The sequence below is a fragment of the Homo sapiens genome, chromosome 3, assembly GCF_000001405.40.
Source record: "Homo sapiens chromosome 3, GRCh38.p14 Primary Assembly".
Taxonomy (NCBI): domain Eukaryota; kingdom Metazoa; phylum Chordata; class Mammalia; order Primates; family Hominidae; genus Homo; species Homo sapiens.
In genome coordinates, this window is record NC_000003.12 from 79,584,320 (window position 1) to 79,601,646 (window position 17,327).

General features: G+C 33.1%; 1 protein-coding gene across 10 annotated transcripts in view; it reads right to left on the bottom strand.

Moving 5' to 3' along the window:
- The window catches only part of ROBO1 (roundabout guidance receptor 1), a 1,170,760-nt gene that overhangs the window by 987,081 nt on the left and 166,352 nt on the right, over nucleotides 1–17,327 (bottom strand). For all 10 annotated transcript variants that reach the window (XM_017006982.2, XM_047448664.1, XM_047448661.1 and 7 more), the window contains exon 2: nucleotides 5,505–5,642. In XM_017006982.2, coding sequence (XP_016862471.1) covers nucleotides 5,505–5,592 — 88 coding nt within the window. In that variant the 5' untranslated portion in view covers nucleotides 5,593–5,642. The remainder of the gene's footprint in view (nucleotides 1–5,504; nucleotides 5,643–17,327) is intronic.

The following is a 17,327-nucleotide window of genomic DNA, read 5'->3' on the forward strand; positions in this document are numbered from 1 at the left end:
AAAGTACTGTTGAGCAGTTTTGTGCAGAACACAAATAAATAGGAACTAAGTAACTGACTTCCATTTCTCACCTTTGGGGAGAGTTTTATTTTCTTAAAACAAACAAAATAACAAACCAAGGAAGAAAGTGCTTGCTCAGGTATTTAAAAAATGATTGACACTATGCTTGATTACTAAATCAATGAGCAGAGTGGGAGGAAAATAAATAAATTCATCAAATCACAGGAGTCTAACAGTAGATAAATGTCCTAAGTATGTAACAAGAGACCTCCATGATTTGTAGGTGGGTGAGTGTGTGTGTGTGTGTGTGTGTGTGTGTATGTTCATACACACACACACACATACACGTACACACATACACACACTCACATACACATGCAATGTGATTAGGGATGTGGGGAATGTGATTAGAGATGAGCCCTCTGCAACCTTCACTAAGCACCACAAGCAGAAGATCTCTTTCATGGGATCCATTAACCCACACCTGGCACTAGCTCATTTAACTTTGCAGAATGATGGGGTATAGGAAACACAGCAAGTCACTATCAAGTGAGTCATCAGCAAGAGAACACCCACCTGACAGCTTTTTGATCTGGTTAAGTCCATTATTATTGTTGCTAAAATTATACTATAAAAAGTAACACTCAGAGAATATTTGATTTATCTTATATTATGATTTTCTTCTATGAGATTTATATAATGTGTAAAGGTAAGTTTTTGTTACATTTTATTTGTAGTGACTATTGTTTTTAGCATCACATTTGGGCATAAGTCATGTTGATATCAACATACTTTTAAGATAATTTTATGGAAAAAGGGGCCCATAAAGGCAAAATTGTCTAAGGTTTCTGTAAGTCATAATACAGCCATGGTTATTAGTTTCTTTTTATAGAATATTTGCATAATTAACATATTATTCTAGTTTATTATAAAAGTCCAGCTACTTAATATCTGAATTAAGATTTTACTAACGCTTTGACAAAATTTAGGGGGAATTGTACCCACTAGGCAAACTTAACTTTGAATTTTGTAAAGTCACTTTCAATAATATAATTTAAAACCCACTGATCTGCTTATTAGTTCAGTGGCTTTGTGTATTGAGCTAATGCCTTTCATCCAACAGGATATATTATGTTTTTCAATCTAGAAATATTTATTATGAGATGAAAATAACAAGAAACATAAGCAAAACCAAAGCGAAATAAACCAGTAGTGGCATCAAATCTGCTCCTCCAAATCCTTGCAACATAGAAAACAAGTATCTCCAAATAACTTTTTCCCTTTGTCATGGAAATCTGTCCTCAGAGAATAAACATTCTTTAAGTGTACTCAACATTAAAATAAAATCAACTCAAATGTCTAAAGCAGAGGTTCTCAAATTTTCTGCCTGTTAGATAATTTGTAGATATCTGTAGAGCAGCGCAAACTCTTTATTTCAGTGATTCTGCCATGGGCCCTGGGAATCTTTACTTTTAAGAAGCATCTCAGGTGCTTCTGAATGTTTTTCAAAATAATTGACTACTTTCTAAATAGTCAGTGCAGTTAAAAAATTGAACTGTTGCCTATGAACAAGCAATCTCTACAGGTTTTAAATGACATATATTTTCCTAATATATGATTCTTCGCCATAGAAACTAATCACAAATATTGGAAAAAAAATACCTGTGGATCATAAACTTTGTAAGAAGCACGCATGCAACATTACTTGTTAAATAAAGTATCCCGAAAGAAATTCCCAAATATTCTGTCACATTTAGATTTCTGGAATTCATTTACTTTCAATTTGTTTTCACATGTCAAAGGAGATTTTTTAAAATCTGAAATAAATCCTCAAGTCTATTCAAAATGTATTGAGCATATGAAAGCAAAAACAAAAACAAAACTTAGAAATACATGGGGGTTGTATGTATATTCATTGTAATTTCTAAAATTTTGCATAAGGAATTCTTTTCACAATTTATAATCTATTTATGGATGATTCAGACCCAGTTAACAGCTCTTTTCAGTTATCTTTTGTGGGGTATAACAGCAAGATACTGAAGTGGTGGTCAATGGATGGGTGGGGCAGATAAGCAGTAAATCATTTCAGAAAATTTCACACTCCAGGCTTGTTGACATGAGTCAGGGACAAGGAAATAACCCAGTCAGCACTTGCATCTTTAATGAAGGACAACACTGCTGCACATTTAGAGTATGGAGAGGAAAAGATAAATCATGCTTAACTTTAAAGTGTTCTGTCTGATTTATTCAAATAGAAATACAACCTTGTGGGTTTTTCTTCATGTATTTTCATTTAAAATATTGCAATATAAACCTAGAACTCAATTTTATTTTTTTTTACCATAGAGGTTTTTTAATTTTTTAATTAAATTCCACTATATGTGAAATATATGCTTTAATAACAGATCATTTTACATTTGCTTTTCATTGTCTTCCTTACATCCGTGGCAATAAAAGGTAGATGCTTAAAATGTAAAGATTAGTATCTGTCAGATTCCTTTCCTAGCAGAAATTAAGTCAAGACGTGGCATAGTCCAGATACAGCATGCCTCAAGAGATAACCTCACATGGTTTAAGAATATATTTCATTTGTCAATTAGAGATGAGGTAAATTAACATGAAAAACATCTACCAGTGGTTTTCATAAAAAAGAGGTGGGCTTTAATGGGCTCAACATGCAATGAAAGCAACAATTCAATGGCTGGCAAAGCCCAGTTATTCTTAGAATCCATTTCTTAATTATTTCTTTTCTCTAAAACAGTTTATTTTCAACAATAAGAGTATTCCTTGATTTACTAAATACAAGTAATTTGTTTGCCTTCTCATATACCAACCATTTCATTTGCAATATTATGAAACATAATAGCAGTTTTAAAAATGTATTATACAGGGAGACAAAATGAAAAATGAAAAAAAAAATTGAGCTGGGCAATCCATCAGTTCCAGACATTACATTCAAATATTTTAATATTTACTTACACCCAGTAACCTAGCCACAGCTTGAAGTGAAAACACTTTATTGTTGTGGTAATAAAATAACTGGCATTGAGCCAATGTTTTAATTGCTCTTTTCTTTTGTACCCTGAGAAGTCTTGTTCCTGTAGACACCTTGGCTGATGATAACTCACTGAGTCAAGTACTACAGAATATAAAATTCTCCTTATTTTTTTAGAAGCATGTTACATTTTTTTCATTTGTCTGATTTCCTTATCTGATTGTTTATTATTAGAAATACATTTCTGATGAAGGAGATTTTTTTTCTTAAGAGAAAGAGTGGAAAAAATCAGTTGAATAAGAAATTATGTTTTTTTTAAAAGACACTAATATTTTGCCTTCAAAGCTAATCCAGTTTTTGCTTCCTCTGAGATATGCTCAATTCAATCCAGATCCAAGGTCTCTAATGAACATACTAAAGCTAGAAAAACAATTAGAAGAATCAAGACTTCTCATCATTCTGAGATTAATGAAAGGAGGGGACACTCTAAGGCCAATGAGTTCCTTCAGTAGATTTTCTCCCTAGCCTGAAGCCAGTGCTCCTAGATGGAGGCAGTTATGAAAATGACTTCCACTCTGCAGGTGTTCTTTTTGAAAAGCTAACAGCATATTTCTTTTGACAGGTAAATTACTTTGAAATGTTTCTTGAACTCTGTAGTCCTGAAAAAAAAGGCATCTAACTGTATGCATCCCATTTGAGGTTACCCTTATTTCTTTTTAAGACAGTGTTGCCTCAAAATGGGCCCTGAGTAATCAATTTGTGCGGTGAATTTTTTAACTAACTGATAACCAAACTATCACCTTTGTAACCAATGTACATATTAAATTAGACAATGAAGTCGTATACTGTAGATTTACAAGTATTTGCATGTAAAATAGTAATGACAGAGGTTTGACAGCTTTTGCACCTAAGCGTTCAAGTTGATTTTTCTTCTCTAAAATTATGCAATATCCTTTTGAATAAAAAGGTAACATTTTTTATTCCCTAGATAAACCTTGTACCTTCCCACCATATATATTCATACATGCATTCCTTCTTCCACTAGACAGACACAGGTGGTTCAAACCTCACTTAACAATTTTGAATTTTGATATCCTGCTCAATAACTGTATCATGGACTAAATTTGTTGACCTGTAGGAGTTATTAGCTGGCCATACAGTTTAATGGGAATTATACCTAGGCTGTATCTGTATCTGTGTCTATCTATAGTTGTAGTTTTAAAAACACTTTCATATAAGTATCCTCTTTATTCTGACAATTTACAAAACAGTGAATTAATTTGTACCTATATTTGCATTTTCTATATATTTAAGAAATGTATGATGTTTTCTTTGATTCATACACTAATCTTAATACTCAACAGAGTTGTGGCAAGAGAAGGGAATATAGGAACAGGCTAAAATAAGAATACGTAGTAATTTTAGTGGGCTAACCTAATTTGATACAAATCATTAAATGTATTTTATTACAACAGACTTAAAGTTTCTGTATTCTTCAATCATGTGAAAATGTTTTTAACAGATATATAAATCATTTGTTTTTGTTTACAACTCCCTTATCTTCTAGGTCAAAATGTCAATCTTAACCCAGCACAGGGAAAAATTGAAGCCCCAGGATTTTTTGAAATCTTTGATTTTGTGTGGATGAACATGACAAGTTACATATAGTTGCTGAATATCAAAATAAATATAACCATAACATAAATACAGACAAAGTTTCATAGTATGGTCTAACAAAACATGGTATGTTATTCTTTTATGAATAACTTGGCTAAATTTTGACATATTAGTTGTATTCAAATTAACTTCAATTGTTTCTGTCTTACCTAAGAGGAAACTTAAAATTATATTTTCATTAGTACATCAATATATTTTTGTATTTTCTGCTACCATACATTGGACCTAATTAATTCCTATTAAAACAGTATAAGTAAAGCATTTTAAAGAAATGCTATTCTATACCATTAATGAAATTATGACTTCAAGGAAATAGGTTTCTAACTTCACCCAAAACAGTGGTAACTATGGTAGCAACACAGCAGCATGTTGCTTTTTTATTCTTACATTGTTCAGCCTGTTAATTAACATGTTACTACGCTAAGAAATGTCAGTTTTCAATGTTTCACTTTTCTGATGTTCCTTTTCTATGGTACCGACATGCACTGTGGCTTAGGTTTCCTTTGTGTGTTACACACCTTTTCCCTACTGTAATTTTTCTTCTGCCACTCTAATTCACTTAGTTAATATAACACTCCTTACATGTTTCAGCACAGTGACTTTTTCTCAATGTTCTGATTCTCTTGGGAATTAATAAAGTGCTCTCTATTCAAGAATAATAATTTGACCCCTGAAATTGATCAGCACTCATACTCAAGAAGACATTCACACAGACTTACAAGTTCCAAAGAAAATGAACAAACTTGATTTGCAACACACACAATAAAAAGTGAATTTAAAGCAAAGAGGGAATACTGGTTAAGTATTGATGAAACAAATGCACAGCACTTACCTGGAATAAGCTGGGCCAGAAACAGGTGATTTGGGGATAAGCTGAGGAGTGATATCATGACCAAAAAAGGAACATGTTTCCATTTCATCTTTGTCCCTTCCTTGCATTACAACCAGCCAGTGACAGACAATGTGTTATCTGGGGAGATTAAAAAAATATTATTTTGTAATGGTTAGCTATGCTGAGAAACAATTATTTTGTGAAACATTGCAGTTCAAATAGATTTGAAATGTCATTTTTTGAAATAATGAAACAAAATTATTACATAACTAAAATGAATATGAATTGTATAGATATATTTCATGATACACATTTCAAACAAATGTGGTATTTATTAATTTTGAAAACTCATTTTCAAGTTAGATATTAATCATAAATGATTCCTGGTTTTCTCTATTTTTTAGAGGATGCCAGATAAGTGATTTTTGCTTTGATTTCCCACCAATTTAGTTGGAACACTCTCATCACATTTAGAAAACTGAAATTAATCATTCATTAAACAAATATTTACAAACAATTTATAATGAGTCAAGCACTATGCTGCTTTGGTGATATAGCAGAAAAAAACAAAAAACTTGCTCTTCACCCAGGTGCATAAACACCTTGAGGCCACTTTAATTATGTGAATTCACAAACAGATTTTAAAAATTACCAAGTGGTCTATTCTGAATATGGCAGAGAAACATAAGCTAGTGTCCTTGTAAAAAAACAAAGCTTATAATATTTGGGAACTTCTTAAGAGATAATAACAAATGACAGCACAAAGCTACAAAAATATATGCAGGTGACTGGTTAATTAATTTTGCCAGGGAGAATTGATCAAGCTTATATGGAAGAAGTGGCATTTTGAGATATGAGATAATATCCAATAAGTGGAAAATAAAACAATACTATTTAGAGATAACCATATAACCAAATTTTCAAAGTAAGATGGTATGTATATACATAAATTTCATGGTATATTTATTTATATATCAATTTTATCATAGATAGGTAGATAGATGATAGATAGATAGATAGATATAGATCTATTCCCATGATATAATGACATATTTAGGCTATTATAAGGAGAGTAGTTGTTTGGCTGGATGTTGGGGTTTGCCAGAATGTAATGTGATGGGGAACTTAAAAAATAAACTGGGGCAAGTAATGCAGGTAATGAGGAGCCACTGAGATTTTAATAATAGATTATACAATGATCTAAATAATTTAGAAGATAACTCTGGTAGGAATAGACAATAGACTTGGCAGTACTTGACAAATTTTAGATTTGCGAGTTGGGAAGTGGAAAGACTTAATCTTTTAACAATAGTTTTACTATTCAGTCAAAAATAGATAAACAAACCTAGTACTATATAAAAAGTAATTTGTCCACCTCAATGAAGTTCTAACAGTTATTTTTGTGACACTCAGAATAACAAATTGAAAAAAAGGTTACTAAATTATTGCTGTAGGTTAACTGGACATAGCTATTTTGTCTATTTGAGTTGAGCTGTCCTTATTGTATGACTTACCAAAGCAGAGTTAATTGCTAAGTTTCCCCTAGCAAAGCTGTCTAATCCTCTTGCCAGACAGCTATAATCACCTGACTTTACTTGAGATATTTGGAGATTATTTCCTCTCTCTAAATTTTTCTGTAAGCAACTTTGATCTGAGCTAGAAACTTGCCTCAAAGAATATACTTGGTTACTGTAGTTTCATATTTATTGCCTCACTTCTTTGTTTTGGGGTTAATGTTCTTGTAACTCTCCTTACCCTAGTATATCACTCATCACTGATATTATATAACTACATTATAAACCTAGATTAATATTTTTACTCTTTAATCCATACTATGCAGTTATTAGTTTGTCCAAAAGCTCTTTTACAGAGTTATCCATTCAATGTTTTGGCTTATGATCACATTCCTCAGTGAAGTATAAATGATTTGTTCCTCCAGAGAAAATGTATAAGTATATTGTGTACTGGTCATTTCTGCTTGGCTGGCTTTTGATATAACAGTTGCCCTATCTTCTTGGTTTCTGCTTGCCTAAGGAGTTTCTCAGATTCCTCTTCTCTCTAATTGATTACTGAGTGTCCTAGACATAGAGTCCTGTTTGGAAAAAACCCTAGACCTCTGATTTCTTAAATGTGTATAAGCAGTTGTGTCTTAGCTCTTGATGTAAATAAAAACATGTATGAATCTCAAGGCTATTTAGAACTTGCTTATTACTTAAAAATTTAGAAGGATTATATTTGTTAAATGATATTTCATAGTACATTAATTGAAAATGAGATTTTTGTATCTGTGGCTAATTACATTTTAATTGTCATTTATTAATAGCCATATATAGCTTATTTGTAGCAGGCAGCTATTGATAAAATAAACAGCCTAATCAAACATGCACATTTTCACCTTAAAAAGAATGCAATAATTATAAGAAATTAAACCTGAAAGTAGAAACACTTATTATAATTGATTGAATTCCCCCAAGTTATATTATTCAACAGGCAGATATTATTTCAAATATCTGTAAGGTATTACGATTAATATTCCTCAAATAAATTTTCATGATCTAGGACTAGTTCTGTGAATTTATGTAGTAAGTGGCTAAAAACATAATATGATTTTTAAGGTAGTACCCAGAAATCAGAAATTATGAATCAGAAATGGGAATTGCATTATTAGCTATTGTACACTTATCATTTCAGTACTTTGAAGTTTTGGTTTGCTTTTAATAGATTTTACCTTTTACAGTAGCTTTAGGTTTAGAGAAAAATTGAGTGGAAGGTAAAGAGATTTCTCATTCACTTCCTTCCCTGACACTATTCCATTCCCTGACACTATTCCACTCCCTGCCCTTGCAGAGCCTCTCCCATTGGCAACCCCCACCAGAATGATGCATTTGTTACAACTGATCAACCTGCATTGACACACCATTATCATCCAAAGTCCATAGTTTACATTAAGGTTTACTCTTGGTGTTGTGCATTTTATGGGTTTGAACAAATGTATATGACACATATCAAACATCATAGTATCATACAGAATAGTTTCACTGCCCTAAAAATCCTTTGTGCTTCATCTATTCATCCCTCCCCCTTCCGAACCCCTAGAAACTGCTGATCTGTTTGTTATCTCCATAGTTCTGCCTTTCTTGGAATGTCATATAGGCATAAACATAGAGTATACAGCCTTTTAAAATTGGCTACATACATCTTTCACTTAGTAATTCATATAAATTTAAGTTTCCTCCATGGGTTTTTCTTTTCATGTCTTGATAGCTAATGTCTTTTCAGCACTGAAAAACATTCCATTGTCTGGATGTACCACGGTTTATTTATCCATTTACTTATAGAAGGACATCTTGATTTCTTCCAAATTGTGGCAATTATGAATAAAGCTGGAATAAATATCCGTTTGCAGGTTTTTATGTGGAGATAAGTTTTAAACACATCTGGGTAAATAATAAATAGTGTGGTTGTTCAATTATATGGTAAGACAATGCTTATTATTGCAAGAAACTGTCAAATTGTCTTTCAAAGTTGTTACAGCATTTGTCTTTCTGCTAGTAATGGGTAAGATTTCCTGTTGCTCAACATCCTTGCTAGCAGCTGGTGTTGCCAGTGTTCTAGGTTTTGGCCATTCTAGTGGGCATGCAATGGTAAGCAGTGTTTTAAATTTACATGTCCTTGTTGGCATATGATGTGAAACATCTTTACTGGCTTATTTATCATCTCATAATCATCTTTGGTGAGGTATTTGTTAAGTCTTTTTTCTCATTGTTGAGTTTAAGAATTTTTTTTTTGCTTGCTTTTGTTTTTTGAGATAGTGTCTTGCTCTGTCACCCAGACTGGAGTACAGTGGTGCTATCTTGGCTCACTGCAACCTCCGCCTCCCAGGCTCAAGTAATCCTCCCAACTCAGCCTCCTGAGTAGCTGGGACAACAGAAGTGTACCACAACGCCTGGCTAATTTTTTAAATATTTTTTTTGGTAGAGACAGGATTTTACCATGTGGCCCAGGCTGATCTTGAACTCCTGAGCACAAGGGATCTGCCCGCTTTGGCCTCCCAAACTGCTGGGATTACAGGTATGAGCCACTGCACCTGGCCTTTTGTTTTGTTTACTTTTATTGTATGTTTTGAATAACAGTATTTTATCAGATATGTCTTTCACAAATATTTTCTTCCAGTGTGTGGCTTGTCTTATTTTTCTCTTGATAGTGTCTTTCACAGAGTAGAAATTTTCAATTTTAATGAAGTTCAAATGATCAATTATTTCTCAATACCTTGAATTTTTGGTCTTTAAGAATCCTCTCAACAAGAAAGTCCCCTATTTTAGGATATAACGTTATTAGCAAACACACTAACCCCTAAACCACACTAACCCTTAAAACCACACCTTTTGACATATTATCAATAAGATAATTGATTTTAGTGAAGAATGTGATATAACTGTATTTGTATGTTCTCTCAGTATTAAAAATAGTTAATCCAACAAGAAAAAGCACAACACCTTTGAATACCATATGAACACGTTTTCCATGGATGTGTACATAAAGTGCCTATTTTTAAAATACTAAGAGTGTATATACATATGGCTTTGAATTAAGAAAACTAACACTATATGAGAAAAGACAAAGATTTACAGCATACCTTTTTGAAAATATGTGATTACCAAATTGTTTAGGGTAATTTAAATGCCTAAAAATATAATTTACTTGTAAGTTATAAGTGTATGGAAGTAATATAACCAGTGTTTTAGAATCACAGAATGTAAATTCAAATTGTTCCACCATGAATCCTAGCTCACCACTCAGATAATTGTTTGACTTATATCAAACAATTTAAACTCTCTTAGTTGCATCTTTCTGAAGTGTAAAATGTGAAGGAGAAGAATAGCCACATCATTGGGTGAGATGTGTGCAGAGTGCTTATAAAAATGCCTGCTCTGTTTCCTGATATCTGCTAATATTGATATCAACATTATCACCAACTTCAAATAGCATCCGGTGAAATTCCTCCAGGGTAATGACGGAACCAATTGTGTATTTGTATTTGCACATTGCTTCATATTAGAATAGTATTGGCTTAGGTCTAATTTGCAAGAAATTAGAGGCTTGGATTATTTTAATGAACTTTATTGAAAGGTAATATATTTATAAGATAATCTCATTTTAAGGGTGTAGTTCAATTTTGACAAATGTATAGAACCATGCAAACTCCACCACAATCAAGATATAGATCCTTTCCACAGAGGTCTTAATTTTAAAAACTAATATGTTCTATACATATATATAACATATTAGTTATATGCACATATGCACACATATGCATGTGTTGATAATGTTTATTTTCAAGTAATATATTTACTAATATGCTGATCCATCCCCTGCTAATAGGAGGGTGATTTTCTCAAAGAAAGGTTTGAAAATATATTTTAGGAGAATCTTGTTCCATGGATTATTAATAAAATTTCTTAGAAAGTAAAAAATGTTTCATATATAATTAATTTAGGTTAATGCATATTTCCACAAAGTCAAAAGCATTTCTTTGAGCACGAATTTCGTATTACATAAGAGAACACCTACATTTCCAAAATTTATCAGTGCACGACACCTATTTCTTCTTCTGAAACTCTTCAGCCTAGGTGGCTCTCTTCTTTTCTTACATATTTGGAAGGACAGTAACTGTTAAAGGTTTTCCTTGTTATGAACCAAAATTGGTTTTCCTTTAAGTCACCCTACTCTCTTTTGTCTTCATTTCCAGGTAAAAAGAAAAAGTGCTCTGCAAAACCAAACTATTGCAACCTTTAACTCCAGTGCCTCTGAGATCCTCCTGAGACATGTCTCAGCCTCCTAAGCAGCTAGGACTACAGGTGTGCACCACCACACTTGGCTTTCTTCTCTTTTTCTTTTTACTTTTTTTTTTTTTTTGTCGATATAGAGCCTATGTTGCCCAAGATGGTCTCGAACTTCTGGCCTCAAGATCCATCTGTTTTGGCCTCTGGAAGTGTTGGGATTACAAGCATGAGCCACTGGACTTGGCCTCTGTCCTAGTCTTAATAAAGAGAATAACCGTGGCTTGTAGAGTAAATTGCTATGCCTAAAGATTGCCTGTCCTTGTGAGATAAACAACAAGAAAAGGTCAGCCCCATTGTGGATTTTGCATGTAACAGATGAATCACTCAGCAATCTACACATTGGTAAAGGAGATATTCTTCCTCTTTACATATGAGATAGACTACAGCTTGGTCTACCCAAATAGGACTATAGTCATAGAGCTCATGAAGGAAAATCAATCACCCAAAATCAATCTCTATTTAAATCAATCTTTGTAATGTTCTAGAGTTTTGTGAAAATTAAGAATGCAAAGTTTAGGTTTTAGGAGAGTCATAAATACATGAATAATAAATATTTTTGAACAGCTAATCTATGGAGAGCTCTGTGCCAGACAGGGGAAAGTCAAATATGTGTGAAATAAATATACTATCTTCATGTCAGAAGAGTAAATAATTTATTACACATGAATGACAAAAATAAAGGGGATTAAGTTGGTGACACAAGGAAGTAGCCAAAGTGGGAAGAGGATCAGGCTTGAGCTAGGCTCTAAAGGGTCTGTTGAAGTTGCACAAGTCCAGTATTGGGTAAAGATATTCAATGAGGGTATGTGTGATGTGTACCTAATTGAGGTTACATGGAAGGCTTTTGTGTAAAGGTAAAAATAAATAATATGTGATGTATATGTAGCACTTCACAGTTTACCTATGTATTAATCTATTAATGTATGATGTATTAATTATTATTAGGAAAATAAGTCATAATATATTATCTTTCACATGAGGATGCAAGTTCAGAATCTTTAAGTAACTCGTCTGCAAGAAAATATACAGTTAGCAAATAAAGTAGATTGGAACCAACTCTACTATGTTTCTCACGACAATTGCAAAATGTCAGAGAATTAGAAGGTATTGAATGCAAGACTAAATTCCAGGCTTTTTCTTGTCAGTGGTTAATGGCATATGGGAAGATGAAGCTCAGCACAAATTGTATAACTTGGAGATTAAAGTGACTCCAGATAAAGGAAACCATGTAGATGATTCTTAGTATATTATAGCATGTATGGTGAATGGACTCTTACAAACAAGTCTAATTGGTGGAGAAAAAAATAGAAATAAACATTAACTATATTGCAAAAGAAAGGAAACAGTTTGGTGAGAAAAAAGAACACGGAAAGTTAAAAAATACATATGTCATACTGTTTCCAAAATCTAAAGCTAGGAAATGGAAAACTTAATAAGTGTGTGTGTGCCTGTGTGCATGCACGTGTGTGTGTGTGTGTGTGTGTATTATGACTGACTAATCTACACCTACTCTAGAGTTCTGTAGATAATACGGTGTGTATAAGTCCGCAGTTAACTCTACTGATAATTTGCTACTGCTTCTGTTTAGTTGGAAGTGCATTTCGTGCTTTTCACTTGAAATTTAAAAAGCCAAAAGGGTATAATACCTTCTGAAAATGCAGGATTAATGCTTTCAAATAGACAAGGTGAACTGGACAAATTACTACCAAACTCTTTTCAACTTTGAGTACTTCAAACCTCCTATAATAAGTATATTATTTTAAAATGGCATACACATAAAAATAGAGTACATAAAGCACAGTTTTAAATCTGAATTAATTAAAACATTCTATTATTTTTCATATATTAAAAAGCCTATAATTTGTTTATGTTACATTTAGCTTAAGTACTTCATATGTATTTAGGAAACTCTTTCCTCATAGAAACAGGCAAATGCTATACCTTTAGTTTGTTTAAATTATGCTAAACTCCAAACTATTACATCCTTGACTGAAAGCATCAGTACTAACTTTCTGACTTCACTTATATACTTGGATTTGCTTTACAAAATGAGGCAAGAAAGGCAACTAGTAACAAAAGACTGTTGGAAAATAAGTTTAAAATTAAGACTGAGAATAAAATATATGAATAGAAAGTATTGGAGTGATGACAAGGCAAAGACACATCTTGAAAATTGGGCAACAGAGTTTAGCAGGAGTTGCAGAAGTAAGGAAATTGGCAAGATTCTCTAATTTGTCACCTCATTTCTTGAAGATTCCTTACATGTAGGCACAGCTACATTATGAATCACGGCCGTTTTGTTTGGACAGATCATGGGCCTTATTTCCAATTAAGCTTCTGTTCATTTCATGAAAGACTAATTAATTCTCATCACACTTTCAGGATACAGAAAATTTTAAACACACTTTGAAGAAACTCAGGGAATAGTGATAAACCTCAGGCTGTATATCACAAATGTGGTAATTTGAGATTCTTATTCTATGTCCACATTGTACTTAAGTAAATGATTGAGGTCAGATAAAGAGTCAAAGACATTTTTTAAACATAATCTGTAAGTATACTTAAAATAGTACATCTATTAGTCTCATGTAGACAGATACGTTATTGATTAATAATACAGAGAAAAACTAAGTTACCTGAAGCACACATCCTTTTAGAATCTTATCCTTCAACCTACACCAAATTCAGGAAAAGTAGCATTTTGGCAAATAGAGCTAACGTTCTGCTATACTCCTAGACTTCCAAAAATTTTAACTTTTGGTTGTATTGTACATTTCACTGTGTTTAAAGATATTGTTTTAAACACTTTAAAAACTTTAAAAAGTAACACCAAATATCAGCAAAAATAAACCTTACCATCCTATTCTGTGTACTTTATTATTTAATTTATTTTATTTCAATTTTTACCACCTCCCCCACTGCACAGTGGCTGCAGCAAGCCTCACTCAAGGAAAGTCTGAGCCCAGACCTGCCTAACCCTCTCTACCAGCCCTGGTAGCTCAATACAAAAGACATAAACTCTTGGGAGCTCTATGGCCCCCTCCATCACCTGAGATTCTGGGGCAAGCTTAGATCCCCCTACTACAACCTCAGCTGGTGCTCTCTTGAAAGAACCTCCCCCTGGCAGGAGGCCAACAAACTCAGGCCATTGCAGCAACTCATAACAAAACAACTCTGCTTCCAGGAAGGAGAAAACAGCAGCTAATTCCACTGCCTGCAACATCCTAGCTAACCAGAGGTCCTGAGCCTGTCCATGTGACAACTTCACTGCTGGCACAACCAGCATTCGAGAAAGCCAGGACTAAACCTATTTACAACCAAGGACTCTCACAATCCACTTCACTCCCCTGCCACCTCCACCAGAGCAGGTGCTGGTACTCAGGGCTGGGAGACATATTCTGTGTACTTTAGGTTTTACTGTATTATCATCTTAGGACAGTCATCACAAAGAAAGGATAAATAATTATTTTATCACTACAAAATGAGTATAAGATGGCTTTTATAACCCTGCATGTGAAGTATTCAAAATACTGATTGACATCTTCAAATAAAGTACTAGATGAAGCCTGAAAAGAGTCAAACTAATAATCATTAAAAGTTCTACTTAATCTTTGACATCTGTTCAGCATGTTAAAGCCAGCAGTTTAACATGGTTTAAAGCAATAATTGTATGACTTCTGGATTAGATATTTTTAATATAGTGCATTCTTAGAATTCATAAATGCTTTTCAAGATTAAAATATAAAATCAATAAAACAGTAAGACGGTTGTCAACTGCTGGCTAGACTATGTTATCAAAATGATGAAAAAGCAGCTATGTATAAAAATAAACCTAATGTTATATCCACAGGGCATGATGAAGATAAACACTAGTTTCTCTAGTGTAGCTACTATAATCATTAAAGAATCGATGGCAAATCAAACTTACAAATCCTTAGGGGTAGGGGGCGGGAGAAAAAACACAGCAGTAAATGCAAAAAAGCTCAAATCAATTTTTCACCCTAAACATGTGAGGTTTATTAGTATTACTAACATAAAGGCAAATGTAAAGACAGAAAAACGGGGATATTATCTTCTTTCACTTTAATTACAGGGTTGCCTCAGGCAGAATTAGTTTTCTGACTTGCTTAAAAAATATTGCATTCCTATATTAGTAGAATTATTTAAATAATAAAGACATTTTAAAAAATGATCTAATGAAAAGTAATAAAATATAGTCTATCCAAATTTTTTTCTTTTTCTTTCTTATTTTATAGCTAAAATTAAAACTGTCTACATCACGCATTTTTTTTCAAAATGAATGTCCAAATTCACGAAGATGATTCCTTAAAAGTATACTCATGTACACCAAGACAGAAAGAAAGCAATTTTCAAACAAAAGCAATTTTCAAAATGCTGTGCTTACACTAGCTCAGTCAGATGAATTCTATGCCCACTTGACCTTCAATCATATTGTTCATTTCATCATTCTGATGAAAATTAGTGGGACGCATGATGTCTGGTCATCCTAGCTAAAGTGAATTCAGTTGCAGACGTATTTTTCTGAACAATATCATCATTCAAGAAATGTAAGATGGAAGTACACATCAATAACATCAGTGTTCTAATAAGTGTTGCCTCTGATGAGTTAGATTTATCTTAGACTGATCACAAAAATAGAATAAAAAACGCTTGAACATTGGTTTGGTCGAAGAGAAGTTAAACATGAAGCTGGTCTGTCTTGACACATGTTGAGAGGCAGAAGTGTAGAGTGGTAGGGAGAAAAGAGAGTGAGAGAACACAGAGAAAAGGGAGTGAGAGAAAATTAGAGAAACAGAACAGTTGTTTAGCAAGCATGTTTAGCTGGCAAATCCTGGGATTAACAACAAACGAAGTATACAGCAAATAAGGTAGTTACCTCCAGAATTCCTTTACTTTTAGAGGGGGTTGCTGTGATCATTCTCTTCCCTCTGCTTAGTTTAAATGAAAAAGAACGCCTGCTGATTTTTTTTTTCACTTTAGAGACCAAAACTTTAATTAAAACCAGCTATGATGTACATTAAAGATAAAAAATCCACACTGTGCTAATTTCACATTTCAATAAATACTAATGTCTGATGAGGTTTTAAAAAAGTGCATTTAATGGGACATGATGTCACTATTAGAATAATTTCTCTAAACAAAAACATGAATATACCAAAATTATACTAAAATGATGATTTTTGTATGCTTACATTTCATTTATTTAATAAACGTTATTTGACAACTTACTATGCACCATCCTAAGATACAAAAATGAATGACAGTGCCTACTCAAGAAGAGTTTACAGTAGGGCAGAGGGAGCGATGGAGATAAGTTACAAGCGGTGGTAATTTCTATTAATATAATGTATAAACAGAGTGCTGTATTATCAGATCAAAGAGAGAACGAAGTAATCAGGCTTCTGGAAAACTGGAAAATGTTCATCCCAGAAGTGAACATTAGAGATGGAATTCGAAAGAACAGTAGTTGTTGACTGAACCAAAAGGGTTCAGGACTGGAGAAGGAAATTCTAAACGAAAGCACCAACAGTGCAGAGGCAGGAAGGAAAGAATCTTTATGTCTGAAAAACAATAGATGGTTTCATTCGGATGGGATTTCAGATAAATATAAGTAGGAGGTTCTGACAGGAGATGAAGCTAAAAAAATCAAATGAAACAAAATGTAAATAGCTTCGTGTGCAAAACAGACATTTAAGCTGAAGAATGAACTGAGCAAATGAAGTTTTTGGCCAAAAGCTCTATAAGCACGGACTTGAAGTGGAAAAGCTGGAGGTCATGAGATGGCAAAGGTCTCTATTATGATATTTCACAAGTCTGTTTCCATGCCTGCCATGTAAAAATCACTATTTGTTGAGTTAATGGAAGGATGAATGAAAACAGTAGTACGAACACAGACATGTATGCAACTGAACTAATATACTTGCAGAAGAGATGGAGTACAAACATAAAAACTATAATA